The sequence below is a fragment of the Homo sapiens genome, chromosome 17 (genome assembly GCF_000001405.40).
Source record: "Homo sapiens chromosome 17, GRCh38.p14 Primary Assembly".
Lineage (NCBI taxonomy): Eukaryota > Metazoa > Chordata > Mammalia > Primates > Hominidae > Homo > Homo sapiens.
In genome coordinates this window covers 56,403,588-56,420,604 of record NC_000017.11, presented here as the reverse complement: position 1 = coordinate 56,420,604, position 17,017 = coordinate 56,403,588, and the positions used below count along the sequence as shown (strand labels likewise).

The 17,017-nt window shown below is 37.5% G+C and overlaps 1 protein-coding gene across 15 annotated transcripts in view; it reads right to left on the bottom strand.

The window, feature by feature from the left end:
* ANKFN1 (ankyrin repeat and fibronectin type III domain containing 1) overlaps positions 1 to 17,017 on the bottom strand; it is a 470,940-nt gene that overhangs the window by 96,412 nt on the left and 357,511 nt on the right. Inside the window, exon 1 of one of the 15 annotated variants that reach the window (XM_011524433.3) lies at positions 7,790 to 8,043. The exons of the other annotated variants lie outside the window; for them this stretch is intronic. The gene's annotated coding sequence lies outside the window, so the exon portion shown is untranslated. Of the gene's footprint in view, positions 1 to 7,789; positions 8,044 to 17,017 lie in introns of those variants that run through there. 15 annotated transcript variants of the gene reach the window in all.

Sequence of the window (17,017 nt, the reverse complement as noted above, 5' to 3'; positions counted from 1 at the left end):
TAATTATGGGTTCTCATATATGCTGAATTCCTATTGATGTATCCAGGGTTATGCACAATTACCTGCACCCTAGGTATAATTTCACTGCTTTCATACTAAAGATAGTATATCAGAATGCAAGTGAGTAAAAGTAATATTATATAGATAACCTTTAGTTTCCCATAACATTAAAAAACAAAAGAAATAGTTTGCCAACTTTGCCACTCCAACTTTAGTATCATAACCATTATTTTAACTATTTGCCATAGACCTCATAGGTGATAATCACAAGACTGGTGTGGCCCACAAGGATGCTGAGACTATTTATTAAGATAATAGAGGTGTAATTTTACTTTTTTGAATGGGAGCTAGAATTCCTCTAAGTCAGCAGGTTCTCTAGTGCTCCTTAAATTATATGTATTCATTCCTTCATTCATTTCCCATCCATCTATTCATCTATGCAGCCACTTATTCAGTCTAGATGTTGGGGAGAGGTAGAAAGGCATGTCATGCAGAGGGAATAACGTGGTGCAATGGCATGAAGGCATGAGTGTATATGAGATTATATATACCAAGGTAACATGAGCTGCTCTGGGGATTTGGCCGTAGACTGCAGGATAAATGGTAGGAGATGAAGCTGGAAAGGTATGGGGAACCAGGTTATTAAAAGATTGTCTGTCTATTTAGGACTATGGACCCATGTAGTCATTGCCCCATGAAGCTGGTTATGCTAAAGGGAATCCATATACAGAGCAAAATCAGATTATTTAATTTATATTTTTCTTCTTATTTCTTTCTTTTTTTTTTTTTTTTTTGAGACAGGGTCTCTTTCTGTTGCTCAGGCTGGAGCACATAGCTCATTGTAACCTATAACTCCTGGGCTCAAGCTATCCTCCGTCTTGAGTAACTAGGCCTCTTGAGTAGCTAGGCTGTAGTAGTAGATACTACAGGTATGTGCCACCATGGCTGGCTGATTTTTTTGTTTTTTATTTTTCATGGAGATAGGGTCTTGCTAGGTTGCCTCAGGTGGTCTAGAAATCCTGGCCTCAAGTAATTCTCCTGTATTGGCCTCCCAAAGTGCTGGGATTACAGGCATGAGCCATCATACTTGACCCAAATTTATATCTCTTTTTTTTTTTTTTGAGATGGAGTTTCACTCTTGTTGCCCAGGCTAGAGTGCAATGGCGGGATCTCGGCTCACTGCAGCCTCCACCTCCCAGGTTCAAGCAATTCTCCTACCTCAGGCTCCTGAGTAGCTGGGATTACAGGCGCTTGCCACCACACCTGGCTAATTTTTTGTAATTTTAGTAGAGATGGGGTTTCGCCATGTTGGTCAGGCTGGTCTCGAATTCCAGACCACAGGTGATCTGCCCGCCTCGGCCTCCCAAAGTGCTGGGATTACAGGCGTGAGCCACTGCACCTGGCCCCAAATTTATATCTTAACATCATGGCAGGGCCATGGAGAAGAAAGGCCAGTGGGCTGCTCCTATCCACTGACTGGGGGTTGGCCAACTGCCTGGAGATTCTGACCTGATGAGTTGGTTCCCATGGTCAACTCAGTTAAAAATGCAGACATCTAAGGGCTGAGGTGTGAACCAGTAGAAGTAGCAAAGTCCTAAGAGTTCTCAGCATGTTACTCTAATCCCCCTGAGATCGGAGTTGAACCAAGCTTCTCTTGTTGAGAATGTTTAACTTCTGCAAACTCAAGAAATCTCACCTCAGTTCTACAAATTGCGCAGATCCTGGGCAAGGTGCATTAACCCCTGAAGTTCCTAGCCTAGGCTTCGGACTCTCTGTGGTTTCTTGTGATTTTTTTTTTTTTTTTTAACTTAGAAAGTAGTATGCTGTAGGGGAAATATAATGAACTGGGAGTCAGGAGTTTTGCATTTTTGTCCTGGCTCTGCCAAATAATTTTGTGACCTTGAGAAAGTCCCTTCACCTTTCTGGGTCTCAGTTTCCTCAGTTTTAAAAGAATAAATTGGGCCAGATAATCTCTGCTTTAATTTTATTATTAAATTCCAGAATCCTGGGGTTTTCTTTTATTATTATCGCATATATATTAAATGGCTTCTAGTGTTTATGATTTTATTGTAGCTTTTTAAGATCTCATCACACTGCCATCTTAAGCAAAACTTCTAAGAAAATCGACTTGAACATTTTCATTTTTATTTTACTCTTTTCTTCACTCTGCATTACTCTTACTGTTTTAAAACAAAGGGGCTTCTCTTAAAATCATTTTAATCCCAGTTTTAAAAAACTGTTACGGGGTTTTGATTTTCCAGAATTATATCAGGCAATGTAAGCAAAAGATCCATAAGGCCAAATTTTTATCCTCTGATCTCAAAGAACATCAAATCAACACAGACACATCCTTCGCCTTTGTTAATTCCTTACCAAATAACAAAGAATTTATCACCACAGTGTCAAATAGTTTCGATTATTTAAATGTGGAAGAACAAAACATCAGGAAATAAAGGGAGGTCTTATTTAAAAGGATGCCTCCAGAAACCACTTAATAATTATGATCAAATAAATGTACTTAAAAGTCCTGGGGAAGTTTTGCCAAACGATTTCTATTGGATAGTAGAAGACTCCTCAAATAAAAGTTGAAAGAAATTAGATTCCCTGCCCCTGACTAGTAAAGCAGACAGAGTATCTTCTGATTCAAGAAAACACTCATGTAGAAAAGACGAAGCATCCCAGAAGTGCTCATCCTCCTGTGTGAACAAAACTATCTTAAGACCTAACGCCTTGAAGAAAGAAAAGAAGGTGGACTTCAGAGAGTTCTAGTAGGCTCCCAGTTATAACACAGGGCAAAAAAATGGAAAGTCTAGAGTGATGTCAGCAACATGATGGAATAGGAAGCTCCTGCTTATCCCTCCTCCCACAGACACACTGAATAAACACCTACACATGGATCAATTCTCTTCAGAGAAAGCTGGAATCCAGTTGAAAGACTCCTGCACACTGGGTGACTGAGCAAATATCCATAACAAAATGGGTAGAAAAAAGGCAGATACATTCATGCACTAACCCTACCTTGGGCACAGTGCCTTAAACTCGGGAGAAAATTTCAACTCCCAGCTTCTTCCCAAGGGGACAGGGACTTGTACCACACATATAGTGCCTGACTATATAGTCCCTGCTGCAGGGCTTGACTCTTAAGTCACCCTGCTTGAGAAACAGCAGGGACAAGGCATCAGTGAATTTCCAACAAACACAAAGAACAAAGGGATTTTAAATTTATGTATTTTAAAAAACTTTTGTGGGTACGTAGTACATGTATATATATTAATGGAGTACAAGAGATACCCTGATACAGGCATGCAATGTGAAATTATCATATCACGGAAAATAGGGTCTCCATTCCCTCAAGCATTTGTCCTTTGTGTTACAAACAATCCAATTATACTCTTAGTTATTTTTAAACATAAAATTAAATTATTAATGACTATAATCATCCTGTTTGTCTATCAAATACGAGGTCTTATTCATTCCTTCTAACTATTTTTATTTTGTACCCATTAACCACCCCCACTATTCCCCCCAACCTCCCACTACCCTTCCCAGCCTCTGGTAACAATCCTTCTATTCTCTATCTCTATGGGTTTAATTGTTTTGATTTGTAGCTCCCACAAATAAGTCAGAACATGTGAAGTTTGTTTTTCTGTGCCTGACTTATTTCATGTTACCTAATGACCTCCAGCCCCATCCATGTTGTTGCAAATGACAGGATCTCATTCTTTTTTATGGCTGCATAGTACTCCACTGTGTAAATGTGCCACATTTTCTTTATCCAATCATCTGTTGATGGACACTTAGATTGCTTCCAAATCTTGGCTATTGTGAATAGTGCTGCAACAAGCATGGGAGTGCACATATCTTTTTGATACACTGATGTTCTTTCTTTTGTGTATATATCTAGCAGCGGGATCGCCGGGCTGTATGGTAGCTCTATTTTTAGTTTTTTGAGAAATCTCCAAATTGTTCTCCATAGTGGTTGTACGAATTTACATTCCCACCAACAGCGTACGAGGATTTCCTTTTCTCCACATCCTCACCAGCATTTGTTATTGCCTATCTTTTGGATGAAAGCCATTTTAACTGGGGTGAGATGATAATCTCATGGGAGTTTTGATTTGCATTTCTCTGATGATCAATGATGTTGAGCGCCTTTTAATATGCCTGTTTTTCATTTGTATGTCTTCTTTTGAGAAATGCTTATTCATATCTTTTGCCCATTTTAAAATCAGATTATTAGATTTTTTTTCCTGTAGATTTGTTTGAGTTCCTTATATATTCTGGTTATTAATCCCTTGTCAGATGGGTAGTTTGCAAACATTTTCTCCCATTCTGTGGGTTGTCTTTTCACTTCGTTGATTGTTTCCTTTGCTTTTTAACTTGATGTAATCCCATTTGAGAATTTTTGCTTTGGTTGCCTATGCTTGCGGGATATTACTGAAGAAATTTTTACGTAGACCAATGTCCTGGAGATTTTCCTCCAGTGTTATCTTGTACTAATTTCATAGTTTAGGTCTTAGATTTAAGTCTTTAATCCATCTTGATTTGATTTGTATATGGTGAGAGATAGAGGTCTAGTTTTATTCTTCTGCATATAAATACCCAGTTTCCCCAGCACCATTTATTGAGGAGACTGTCCTTTCTCCAATGTACGTTCTTGGCTTTTTTGTTGAAAATGAGCTTACTGTAGGTGTATCGATTTGTTTCTGGATTATGTATTCTATTCCATTGGTCTATGTGTCTGTTTTTATGCCAGTACCATGCTGTTTTGATTATTATAGCTCTGTAGTATAATTTGAAGTTAGGTAAAGTGATTCCTCCAGTTTTGTTCTTTTTGCTCAGGATAGCTTTGGCTATACAGGGTCTTTTGTGGGTCTATATAAATTTTAGAATTTTTTTTCTATTTCTATGAAGAATGTCATTGGTATTTTGATAGGGATTGCATTGAATCTATAGATTGCTTTGGGTAGTACGGATATTTTAACAATATTGATTCTTCCAACCCATGAACATGGGATATGTGTCCTCTTCAATATTGTGTCCTCTGCAATTTCTTTCATCAGTGTTTTATAGTTTTCATTGTAGAGATCTTTCACTTTTTTGGTTAATCCATAGGTATTTCATTTTATATGTGGCTGCTATAAATGGGGTTACTTTTGAAATTTCTTTTTCAGATTAGTCACTGATGGCATACAGAAATGCTACTGATTTTTGTACGTTGATTTGGTATCTTCCAACTTTACTGAATGTATCAGTTCTAACAGTTGTTTTGTTTTTTCTGAGTATAAAGTCTTTAGGTTTTACCAAATATAAGATCATATCACCTGCCAACAAGGATAATTTGCCTTCTCCCTTTCCAATTTGACTGTCTTCTATTTCTTTGTCTTGTCTGATTGCACTAGCTAGGACTTCCAGTACTATGCTGAATAACAGTGGGCATCCTTGTCATGTTCCAGATCTTAGAGGAAAGGCCTTCAGTTTTTCCCCAGTCAGCAAAGGCTGTGAGTCTGTTATATGTAGTTCTTATTATGTTGAGGTATGTTCCTTCTATACCCAATTTTTTGAGGGTTTTTTTTTCTTTTTTTGAGACAGAGTCTCACTCTGTCACCAAGGCCAGAGTGCAGTGGTGCGATCTTGGCTCACCACAACCTCTGCCTCCCAAGTGCAAGTGATCCTCCCATCTCAGACCCCAGAGTAGCTGGGACCACAGGTACACATCACCACACCTAGCTAATTTTTTCTATATTTTGTAAAGATGGTGTATCACCATGTTGCCCAGGCTGGTCTCAAACTCCTGGACTTAAGCAATCTGCCCATCTCGGCCTTCCAAATGCTGGGATTAAACACATGAGCCACCATGCCTAGCCTTTTGAGGGTTTTTATCATGAAAGGATGTTGAATTTTATCAATGCTTTTCAGCATCAATTGAAATGATCATATGATTTTTGTCGTTCATTCTGATTATATGATATATTACATTAACTGACTTGCATATGTCGAACCAGTTCTTTCTCTGTGTTATCTCTCCACATCCCTGGGATAAATCCTGCTTGGTCATGGTGAATGATCTTTTTAATGTATTGTTGAATTTGGTTTGCTAGTATTTTGCTGAGGATTTTTACACCAGTATTAATCAGAAATATTGGCCTGTAGTTTTCCTTTTCTTGATGTGTCTTTGTCTGGTTATAGTATAAGTGTAATACTAGCCTTGTAGAATGAGTTTGGAAGTTCCTCCTCTTCCACCCATCCTCCTGTATTTTTTGGAATAGTTTGAGTATGCTTTGTATTTGTTCTTTACATGTTTGGTAGAATTCACCAGATGTACAAAGAAGAGCTGGCACCATTCCTATTGAAGCTATTCCAAAAAATTGCAAAGGAGTGACTCCTCTCTAACTTACCCTATGAGTTCAGCATCATCCTAATACCAAAACCTGGCAGAGATACTACAACAACAAAAAAAAATTCAGGCCAATATCCTTGATGAACATCAATGTAAAACTCCTCAACAAAATACTGGCAAATGGAATCCAGCAGCACATCAAACAGCTTATCCACAATTACCAAGTAGGCTTTATCCCTGGGATGCAAGTTTGGTTCAACCTATACAAATGAATAAATGTGATTCATGGCTGGATGCAGTGGCTTATGCCTGTAATCCCAGAACTTTGGGAGGATGAGGTGGGCGGATCACCTGAGGTCAGGAGTTCGAGACCAGACTGGTCAACATGGAGAAACCCCATCTCTGTAATCCCAGCTACTTGGGAGGCTGAGGAAGGAGAATCGCTTGAACCCGGGAGGCAGAGGTTACAGTGAGCTGAGATGGCACCACTGCACTCCAGCCTGGGTGACAGAGCAAGACTCCATCTCAAAAGAAAAAAAAAAGTGATTCTTCACATAAACAGAACTGAAGACAGAAACCATATGATTACCTCAATAGATGCAGAAAAGGCTTTCAATAAAATTCAGCATTCCTTTGTGTTAAAAACTCTCAATATAAAACTATTGAAGGAATATAACTCAAAATAATAAGAGCTGAATATGACAAACCCACAGCCAATATCATACTGAATGGGCAAAGGCTGGAAGCATTCCCCTTGAAAACTGGCATAAGACAAGGATGCCCTCTGTCACTACTTCTATTCAACATAGTAATGGAAATCCTGGCCAGGGCAATCAGGCAAGAGAAAGAAACAAAGGGCATCCAAATAGGAGGAGAGGAAGTCAAACTGTCCCTTTTTGCAGACAACATGATTCTATATCTAGGAAACCCCATAATCTTGGCCCCAAAGTTGCTTCAGCTGATAAACGACTTCAGCAAAGTCTCAGGATACAAAATCAATGTTCAAAACTCACTAGCATTCCTATATACCAACAACAATCAAGCCAACAGCCAAAACAGGAAACTACTCCCATTCACAATTGCCACAGAAAGAATAAAATACATAGGAATACAGCTAACTAGGGAAGTGAAAGATTTAAAAAAAATGAAGATCTCAAATTAACAACCTAATGTTACGCTTCGAGGCACTTGAAATAAGCTCAAACTTAGCAGAAGGAGGGAAATAACAAAGATCAAGGCAGAAATAAACAAGACACTATAGAAACAATAGAAAAGATTAACAAAACTAAAAGTTGTTTTCTTTTAAAAAAGATAAGCAAAATTGACACACTTTTACTTAGACTTACAAAGAAAAAAGGAGTAAAGACACTGTCAGGGTTCTCTGGAGGATCAGGACTAATAGGATAGACGCGTATTTGAAAGGAAGTTTATTAAGGAGTATTGACTCACATGATCATAAGGTGAAGTCCCACAATAGGTCATCTGTAAGCTGAGGTGCAATAAAGCTGGTCCAAGTTCTAAAACCTCAAAAGTAGGTAAGCTGACAGTGCAGCCTTCAGTTCGTGGCCAAAGACCCAAGAGCCCCTTGCAAACTACTGGTATAAGTCCAAGAGTCCAAAAGCTGAAGAACTTGGAGTCTGATGTTCCAGGGCAAGAAGCATCTGACATGGGAGAAATATGAAGGCCAGAAGATCAGCCAGTCCAGTCCTTCCACATTCCTCTGCCTGCTTTTATCCTAGCCATGCTGGTAGCTGATTAGTTGGTACCCACACAGAGTGAGGGTGGGTCTGCCTCTCCCAGTCCACTGACTCAAATGTCAATCTCCTTTGGCAACACCCTCACAGACACGCCCAGGAACAATACTTTCATCCTTCAATCCAATCAAGTTGACACTCAATATTAAACCATCACAGACACAAATAAAATCAGAAATGAAAGAGGAGACATTACAACTGATACCACAGAAATACAAAAGATCAGACTACTATGAACAACTATAGTCCAAGAAATTAGATAATCTAGAAGAAATGGCGAATTCCCAGAAACACACAACATACCAAGACTGAATCAGGAAGAAATAGAAATTGGCAATAGACCAAAAATGAGTATGGAAATTGAATTAATGACAAAATGTTTCTCATCAAAGAAAATCCTTGAATCTGATGGCTTCATTGCTGAATTCTGCCAGTCATTTAAAAAACAGCCAATACTTCTTAAACTCTTCCAAAAAATCAAAGAGGAGAGAATAATTTCTGAACTTATTTTATGAGGCCAGCATTACCCTGATACCAAAGCCAAGGAATAACACAAGAAAAGAAATCTACAGGCCAATGTCCCTGATGAATATAGATGCAAAAATCCTCAAGAAAATACTAGCGAACCCAATTCAACAGCACACTATAAATATAATTTACCATGATGAAGTGGGATTCATTCCAGGGGTATGAAGGGATTTCAACATATATAAATCAATAAATGTGATACACTGTATTAACATAATGAAGGATGAAACCCATATGATTATCTCAATAGATACAGTAAAAGCACTTGTCAAAATTCAACATCTTTTCATGATAAAAAGTCTCCACAAAATCAGTATAGAAGAAAGCTGCCTCAATACAATAAAGACCATACACAACAAGCCGACAGCTAATGTCTTACTAAATGGTAAAAAGTTGAAAGCTTTTTCTCTAAGATCAGGAACAAGTAAAGGATGCCCATTCTTTCCATTTCTATTCAACATATTACTAGAAGTCCTAGCCACAGAAATTAGGCAAGAAAAAGAAATAAAAAGACATTCATACAGGAAAGCAAAAGTGAAATTGTCTCTGCTGATAACATGATCTTACATATAGAAAATCTTAAATAGTCCACCAGAAGAACCCAAACCTGTAGAACTGATACATTCAGTAGAGTGTAGGTTACAAAATCAAATTTAAAAAAATTAGTATTTTTCCATACACTAAAAACAAAGTATCTGAAAAAGAAATTAAGAAAACAATCCTACCTACAATAGCATAAAAATATGTAGCAGTAAATCTAACCAAGGTGAAATATCTGTACACTGAAAACTATAAAACAGTGATGAGAAAAATTGAAGAAGACAAAACATAGGTGGAAAGACATCCCATGTTCATAGACTGTAAGAATTAATATTATTTATACTACCTGAAGTGATTTACAGATTCGATGCAATCTCTATCAAAATTCCAAAGTCATTTTTTGGTAGAAACAGAAGAAACAACCCTAAAATTTGTATGAAACCAGCAAAGACCTCAAAATAATCAAAGCAATCTTGAGCAAAAATAACAAAACTGGATTTCAGAATATATTATAAAGCTATTGTAATCAAAATTGCATAGTATTGTCATAAAAACAGACACATCAACCAAAGGAACAGAATAGAAAGCCTAGAAATAAACCCATGTATTTACCATCAGTTGACTTTTGACAAAGATGCTAGGAATAATATAGTCAAGAAAAGACAATCTCTTCAATAAATCTCACTGAAGCAGAGTAGAAAGGTGGTTACCAGAGGTTGGCAGAGAGACGGTGGTGGGGGCTGGAGATGGAGAGATGGGGAAAGGGAGATGTTGATCAAAGGATGCAAAGCTTTGGTGAGACTGGTAGAAAAAATTTTAGTGATCTATTGCACTGCTTGGTAATCACAGTTAATTAATAATACATTATATATTTCAAAATTGCTAAAAGAAAAGATTTTTAATGTCCTCACCACAAAACAATAAGTTGGTGAGGTGATGGATATGTTAATTAGCTTTATTGAATTTTTCTACAATGTATACATAGATCAAATCATATTATACCCCATAACTATATGCAATTCTTTGTGAATTAAAAATAATAATAATAGGCCTGGCATGGTGGCTCATGCCTGTAATCCCAGCACTTTGGGAGGCCGAGGTGGGCGGATCATGAGGTCAAGTGATCGAGACCATCCTGGCCAATATGGTGAAACCTGGCCAACATGGTGAAACCCCCATCTCTACCAAAAAATGCAAAAATTAGCTGGGCGTGGTGGCACATGCCTGTAGTCCCAGTTACTCGGGAGGAGAATCACTTGAACCTGGGAGGTGGAGGTTGCAGTGAGCCGAGATAGCGCCACTGCACTCCAGCCTGGTGACAGAGTGAGACTCCGTCTCAAAAAAATACAACAATATAAAATTAAAATAAAGAAAATGAAAACTCTGTCATTTGGGGTTTTACCTCTTAAAATTGGCCTGGCTTTTCTTCTGCTTAATAGTACTCTACTTTCAGTTTTTTTAAAAAAATTATATATTATATTAAGTAATGGTGGATCAATTTTTATGATTCTGAAAACAGAGGCACTGCCTTCCTATTTTAAGAAGAAATTGAGGCAGAGGGGTTAAGTAACTTGTTCAAGGTCACACAGCTAAGTAGAGGAACTGAGAACAAATTCAAGTTAATGAAGAAGGTAATCGTGATTGCTTGTGTTTAAAAAATAGTACCTGTTTTTCCCTTATTAAACTAACATTTTAGAAAAAAGCTAGGCATATTAAGAGTATTATAATCATGATGTAGCTGTCTGGGAATAATTTGGCTCAATCAGGAGGAACAAGGGTCATGAAGTCCATTTGAGTCTCAGTTAAAGAGATGCTGATTAACTTCTGTGAGGCTGTCTTCATCACAGAGCAGTCAGCTATCAGGATTAATTTTGATGGCTTTAGGAACAAACTTTTAAATAAATGACACTAGTATGAGATGTTCTTCAACTCCAAGTCCCAGAAGTCATCTCCGTGTTGTTCTTAGGCTCTGAGGCCACTAGCTGGTCTGCTTTCTTTCTTCACCTTCCAGGGTCTTCTTATGCTTGTTTTATGTACAATGTTCAGTGTTTTTGGTTGCATTTAGCAGGAAGAATGAGGGAAAGTACATCTGCTCTATCTTCCTGTAAGTGCAAACAGTCCCAGGATGAGATTTTAAGATTACTGAAAGTCAGCTCCTTTCTTGGAATCTTATAAGGTGGGGAAACAAATCATAAGACACAGACATAAAAATAATCTTGGCCAGGCCTGGTGGCTCAGGCCTGTAATCCCAGCACTTTGGGAGTCCGAGGCAGGTGGATCACCTGAGATCAGGAGTTCGAGACCAGCCTGGCCAATATGGTGAAACCCCGTCTTTACTAAAAATACAAAAATTAGCTGGGCATGGTGGCAGGCGCCTTTAATCTCAGCTACTTAGGAGGCTGAGGCAGGAGAATTTCTTGAACCCGGGAGGTGGAGGCTGCAGTGAGCTGAGATTGCGCCATTGCACTCTAGCCTGGGCAACAAGAGCAAAACTCCATCTCAAAAAAAAAAAAAAAATCTTAAAAGCATTTACCATTTTGTATTCTAAGTAACATAATCTCATGACTGCCTTCTAACTCTATTGTTTTTACTTTTTGCGTTCAAACCCAGTCTAAAGTGAGAGGAGAAACTTTTGTTTTTACATCAATTTAATCATCTGTATAGAATCTGCAATGCTGATCTTTAAGGAGCTAGTTGCCTCTGTAACCAGGAAGGATGCTCACATCACAGACTACACCAAACTTCTTTCTCTCTTTTTTAGCCTGGTGTAAATAATTTGAAATAGGTAACAGAAATAAAATCTTTCATTAGTCCAATAATCTAACCTTAGTATCTCTGACCATCTCATCTCTTTTTCTGCAATATATGTGAGTTGAATGTAGTTTTTGAGAATGAAGAATCTGATTGCTCTTTCTTCACCACCAAGATAATTCAGAGTGTATCCCTGGTGGGTCCGCATAAGAGCGTCCACCATTTTCACAGGTGTCTATATCCTAATCCACTGCTAGTAATTTATACCTATATTAATTCATAACAGGAACCCAGAGTTAACTAGAGTGTCTCGAAGAAAAGAAATGGAGAAAATATGGTTAACAAACACTCACATAGGAAGATAAAATGTGTATAAACATCTTTGATAATATTCAAAGAGACACCCAGAATACTATAATGGGCCAACTGATTGACCATTATAAATAATTTAAATATTGGCTGGGTGTGGTGGCTCAAGCCTGTAATCTCAGCACTTTGGGAGGCCGAGGTGGGCAGATCCCCTGAGGTTGGGAATTCAAGACCAACCTGGCCAACATGGTGAAACCCTGTCTCTATTAAAAATACAAAAATTAGCTGGGCATGGTGGCCTATGCCTGTAATCCCAGCTACTCAGGAGGCTGAGGCAAGAGAATCGCTTGAACCCGGGAGGCGGAGGTTGCAGTGAGCCGAAATCACGCCACTGCACTCTAGCCTGGGTAGCAGAGCAAGACTCTGTCAAAAAAAAAAAAAAAAAAAAAAAGATAAAAAAGATTTTAAATATTTAGCTATTTGTGCTTAACACAAAGCTCTTCTAGAAAGTTTATATTGAAAACAGTTGTAGTAATTGGCGTTATTGAAGAAAGCATCAAGAAATTTTATTGAAACTTATCTCTAAGATCATTCTAGTTTAACTTATTTCTGATACAGAAATATGTAGCTAAAATGTCCTACAGTTAATGTAGCCAAATATTCTTTGTGATAGTGTTCTAATCTATTTTCTATTTGATTTTTAGTCCTATGGTACTTTGGGAGTTCTGAGATGGGAGTGGTCGGATTCCCTTTAATTCAAGCCTATGATTAAGAGGCCATAATCAAATACAAAGAATCTATTGATCATAAGTAAGCTTACAGAACAATAAAAGCCTGAATGTGTATTAACACTGATGGAGCTTTGATTTGATGTTATGAGCACACACTTCAGAGAAATATGTATTCTGGTTTCTTCACTTACTAATTGTTAGACTTGGGCAACTTCTTAATTTTTCTGAACCTGAATTTCCTCATCTACAAAATGCAGTTAAGAATATATCCTACCTCATAAGATTTTTGAGAGGATTAAGTGATATAACACATATAAAACATTTAGCTTGGCACCTGGTAAGAGCTCAGTAAATATTTCCTAGTATTACTGCTACTACTCCTACGTCATTTCTCTCATAAATCAATCTAAAGGATAGCACTTTGTTCAAAATGCTCTGTATGGTAGACTGTTTTTAATCAGATACAGATTTTGTTTACTCTGGTAAAATAATTAAACCTCTTTCTGGGTTCCATGCTTACCTCCAAGTTTGAAAACAGATACTATTAGACAATTTTAGCTTATCAAATGTTTATTTTTGGAACCCCTGAGCTACAGAATTATCCACATTTCCTTCCCCTTTTTCCCCTCCCTATTTATACCTGGCCCCATGCCAGATACTTCTTGGGGCTAATTCCAATTAGCATCCATTACAGATCAATCTAGAAAAGATTGGTTATTTATTGTCAGGTGGATACATGAACCATGGCAGTTTCAGAAACCAGAGCTAAAGTGATCTTATAAAGTTCTAGGTAGGTCAGCATGATACTATGCTGGTCTCATGATGACTTTCATGAAATTACCTCTGAAATGCTATGCATTTTCCCACTCAGAACCTCACTCTAACTCTATAACTTATACCAAAGATCACACTGTACCTGCTCCTAGCCTTGTAAGTCTTACAAAAGCCCTTGGCCAAAAGCAATAAAATTTGACCTGACCTAATCCTGGAGTCGCAATGGATAATGTGTGTATTTTTCATTCAATAATTTAACGTAGAAATTAACTGCATGTGTCACATATTCCCCATCTGAAAGAGAGAGGGTTTATGGTTCTAATATTACACAAAAATTAAATACGTAAACACTCCTGTCATTTAAGACTCTTCTCTTTCTCGATAGCTTAAATAAGCACTATAAAAGACTCTTTTGGGGAAATTTATTATTTAATTCAGTATGGGAGCCTGCTTCATGAAATTCACCCTCTATGGTTACAGAAATGATAGCCATGGAGATATTTTTCTTCCTCCCTGAAAGAATTGAAATAATTTGCCCATTTTAGCTTACTGTATTGTTTTCTCCTGTTTGTCAATATAGGGGGAAAAAACACTGTGGAAATTTACAGAAAACTTTGTTCTCGCTATCCCTTCTTTCAGGCATACTTTTGAATATTTTCTATTCCTGCGTATGGGATGAAAAGAGTCTGTACCTGACCTCCTCTTTTTGACTGCCCTTACGTGATTTTAAAGACTATTCCTTTATGGTAGCCTTCTGTCTGACCTATTTTTTCCCATTGCCTTTTCCTCTCTTGCCTCAGTCTGTTTCCTCTGTATCTCATTAACTTTATTTTTATTTTGATCCTTTTATTAAATGTTTTAAACAGATCTACATGGTTAAAAAACCAAAAGGTATAAACAATTATAAAGAGATAAGACTCCCTTATTCCTTATTTACCATCTTCCCAGTTCTTAGATTTTCCCTCCCACCATAGATATCCGTTGTTCTTAGCGTCCTATACATCTTCCAAGAGTTTATGTATATTCAAGCAAATGTGAATATAGATCCTCCTCCCTCAATTTTACACAAAAGGTAGTATATTACATATATGCTCTTTCAATTTTTTAACAATATACTTTGGAGGTCCTTCCATATACAATTCAAAATGAGATCCCACATTCTTTTTTATAGCTGTTTTATATGTATGTGTATGATAATTTATTTAATTAGTTCCTAATTGAAAGATACTCTATATTTTACTCCTTTAAACAACGTTGATGCAATTTACTTTTTAAAAATTCTTACAAACAACTCTTGTGCATGTTATTTTATATATATCTAGGTGTAGTTGTAGGATAAATCCCCCTACTTAGAATTACCAGGTCAAAGATTATTTGCATTTGTAATGTTGATAGATATTGCCAAACTACTCTCCATAAGGGTGACAATAATTTACACTTCTCCCAGCATTATATGAAGTTGACTGTTTCCTAGAACTTAATCTATAGAGCGTATATTAAACTTTTGAAGTTTTTGATATTCTGAAAGGTGAAAAGTGATACCTCAAGTTAGTTTTAGGTTGCATTTCTTGCATAATGAGAAAGTTTGAACATCTTTTTATATGCTTAGGAGTTGTCTGTGCTTCTCTGTGAACAATCTTTCCCTCATTTTTTCATATATATTTCAAGAGCTATTTATATATTAGAAATATGGATACTACTGATGGTCTCTGGAAAGGGCCACCTCCCGGCCGGAGGCCAACCAGCACAAAAATAGAGCGTTAAACCACCAGAGCTAAGAACCCTCATGGAGTTCATTGCACTACCCCCCACCACCACCTCCACTGGAACAGGTGCTGGTATCCATGGCTGACAGACCCATAGGTGGTTAACACCACAGGGCTCTGTGCAGACACTCCCCAGTATCAGACTGGAGCTAGGTAGACTCTCTGGGTTGCTAGACCCAGAAGAGAGACAACAATCACTGCAGTTCGACTCATAGGAAGCCACATCCATAGGAAAAGGGGGAGAGTATTACATCAAGGTAACACCCCATGAAACAAAAGAATCTGAACAACAGCCTTCAGCCCTAGACTTTCCCTCTGATAGAGCCTACCCAAATAAGAAGGAACCAGAAAACCAACCCTAGTAATATGACAAAACAAGGCTCTTCCATACCCCCCAAAATCACACTAGTTCACCAGCAATGGGTCCAAACCAAGAAGAAATCCCTGATTTACCTGAAAAAGAATTCATGAGGTTAGTTATTAAGCTAATCGGAGAGTCACCAGAGAAAGGTGAAGCCCAATGCAAGAAAATCCAAAAGGTGGTACAAGAAGTGAAGGGAAAAATATTCAAGGACATAGATCGCTTGAAGAAAAAACCATAAAAAAGTCAGGAAACTTTGGACACACTTTTAGAAATGCAAAATGCTCTGGAAAGTCTCAGCAATAGAATTGAACAAGTAAAAGAAAGAAATTCAGAGCTCGAAGACAAGGTCTTCAAATTAACCTAATCTAACAAAGACAAAAGAATAAGAAAATATGAACAAGGCCTCCAAGAAGTCTGGGATTATGTTAAATGACCAAACCTAAGAATAATCGGTGTTCCTGAGGAAGAAGAGAATCCTAAATGCTTGGAAAACATATTTGGGGGAATAATCAAGGAAATCTTCCCCAGCCTTGCTAGTGACCTAGACATCCAAATACAATAAGCACAAAGAACACCTGGGAAATTCATCACAAAAAGATCATCACCTAGGCACATTGTCATCATGTTATCCAAAGTTAAGAAGAAGGAAAGAATCTTAAGAGTTGTGAGACAGAAGCATCAGGTAACCTATAAAGGAAAAACTTGGATTAGCAGAAGATTTCTCAGCAGGACCCCTACAAGCCAGAAGGAATAGGGGCCCTATCTTCAGCCTTCTCAAGCAAAACAATTATCAACCAAGGATTTTGTATCCAGCAAAACTAAGCATCATATATGAAGGAAAGATACAGTCTTTTTCAGAAAAACAAATGCTGACAGAATTCACCATTACAAAGCTACCACTACAAGAACTGCTAAAAGGAGCTCTAAACCTTGAAACAAATCCTGGAAACACATCAAAACAGAAGCTCTTTAAAGCATAAATCACACAGGAACTATAAAACAAAAATACAAGTTAAAAAGAAAAAAACAAAAAATCAAAGTACACAGGCACCAAAGAGCATGATGAATGCAACAGTACCCCATATTTCAATACTAACATTGAATGTAAATGGCCTAAATGCTCCACTTAAAAGATACAGAACCACAGAATGGATAAGAAC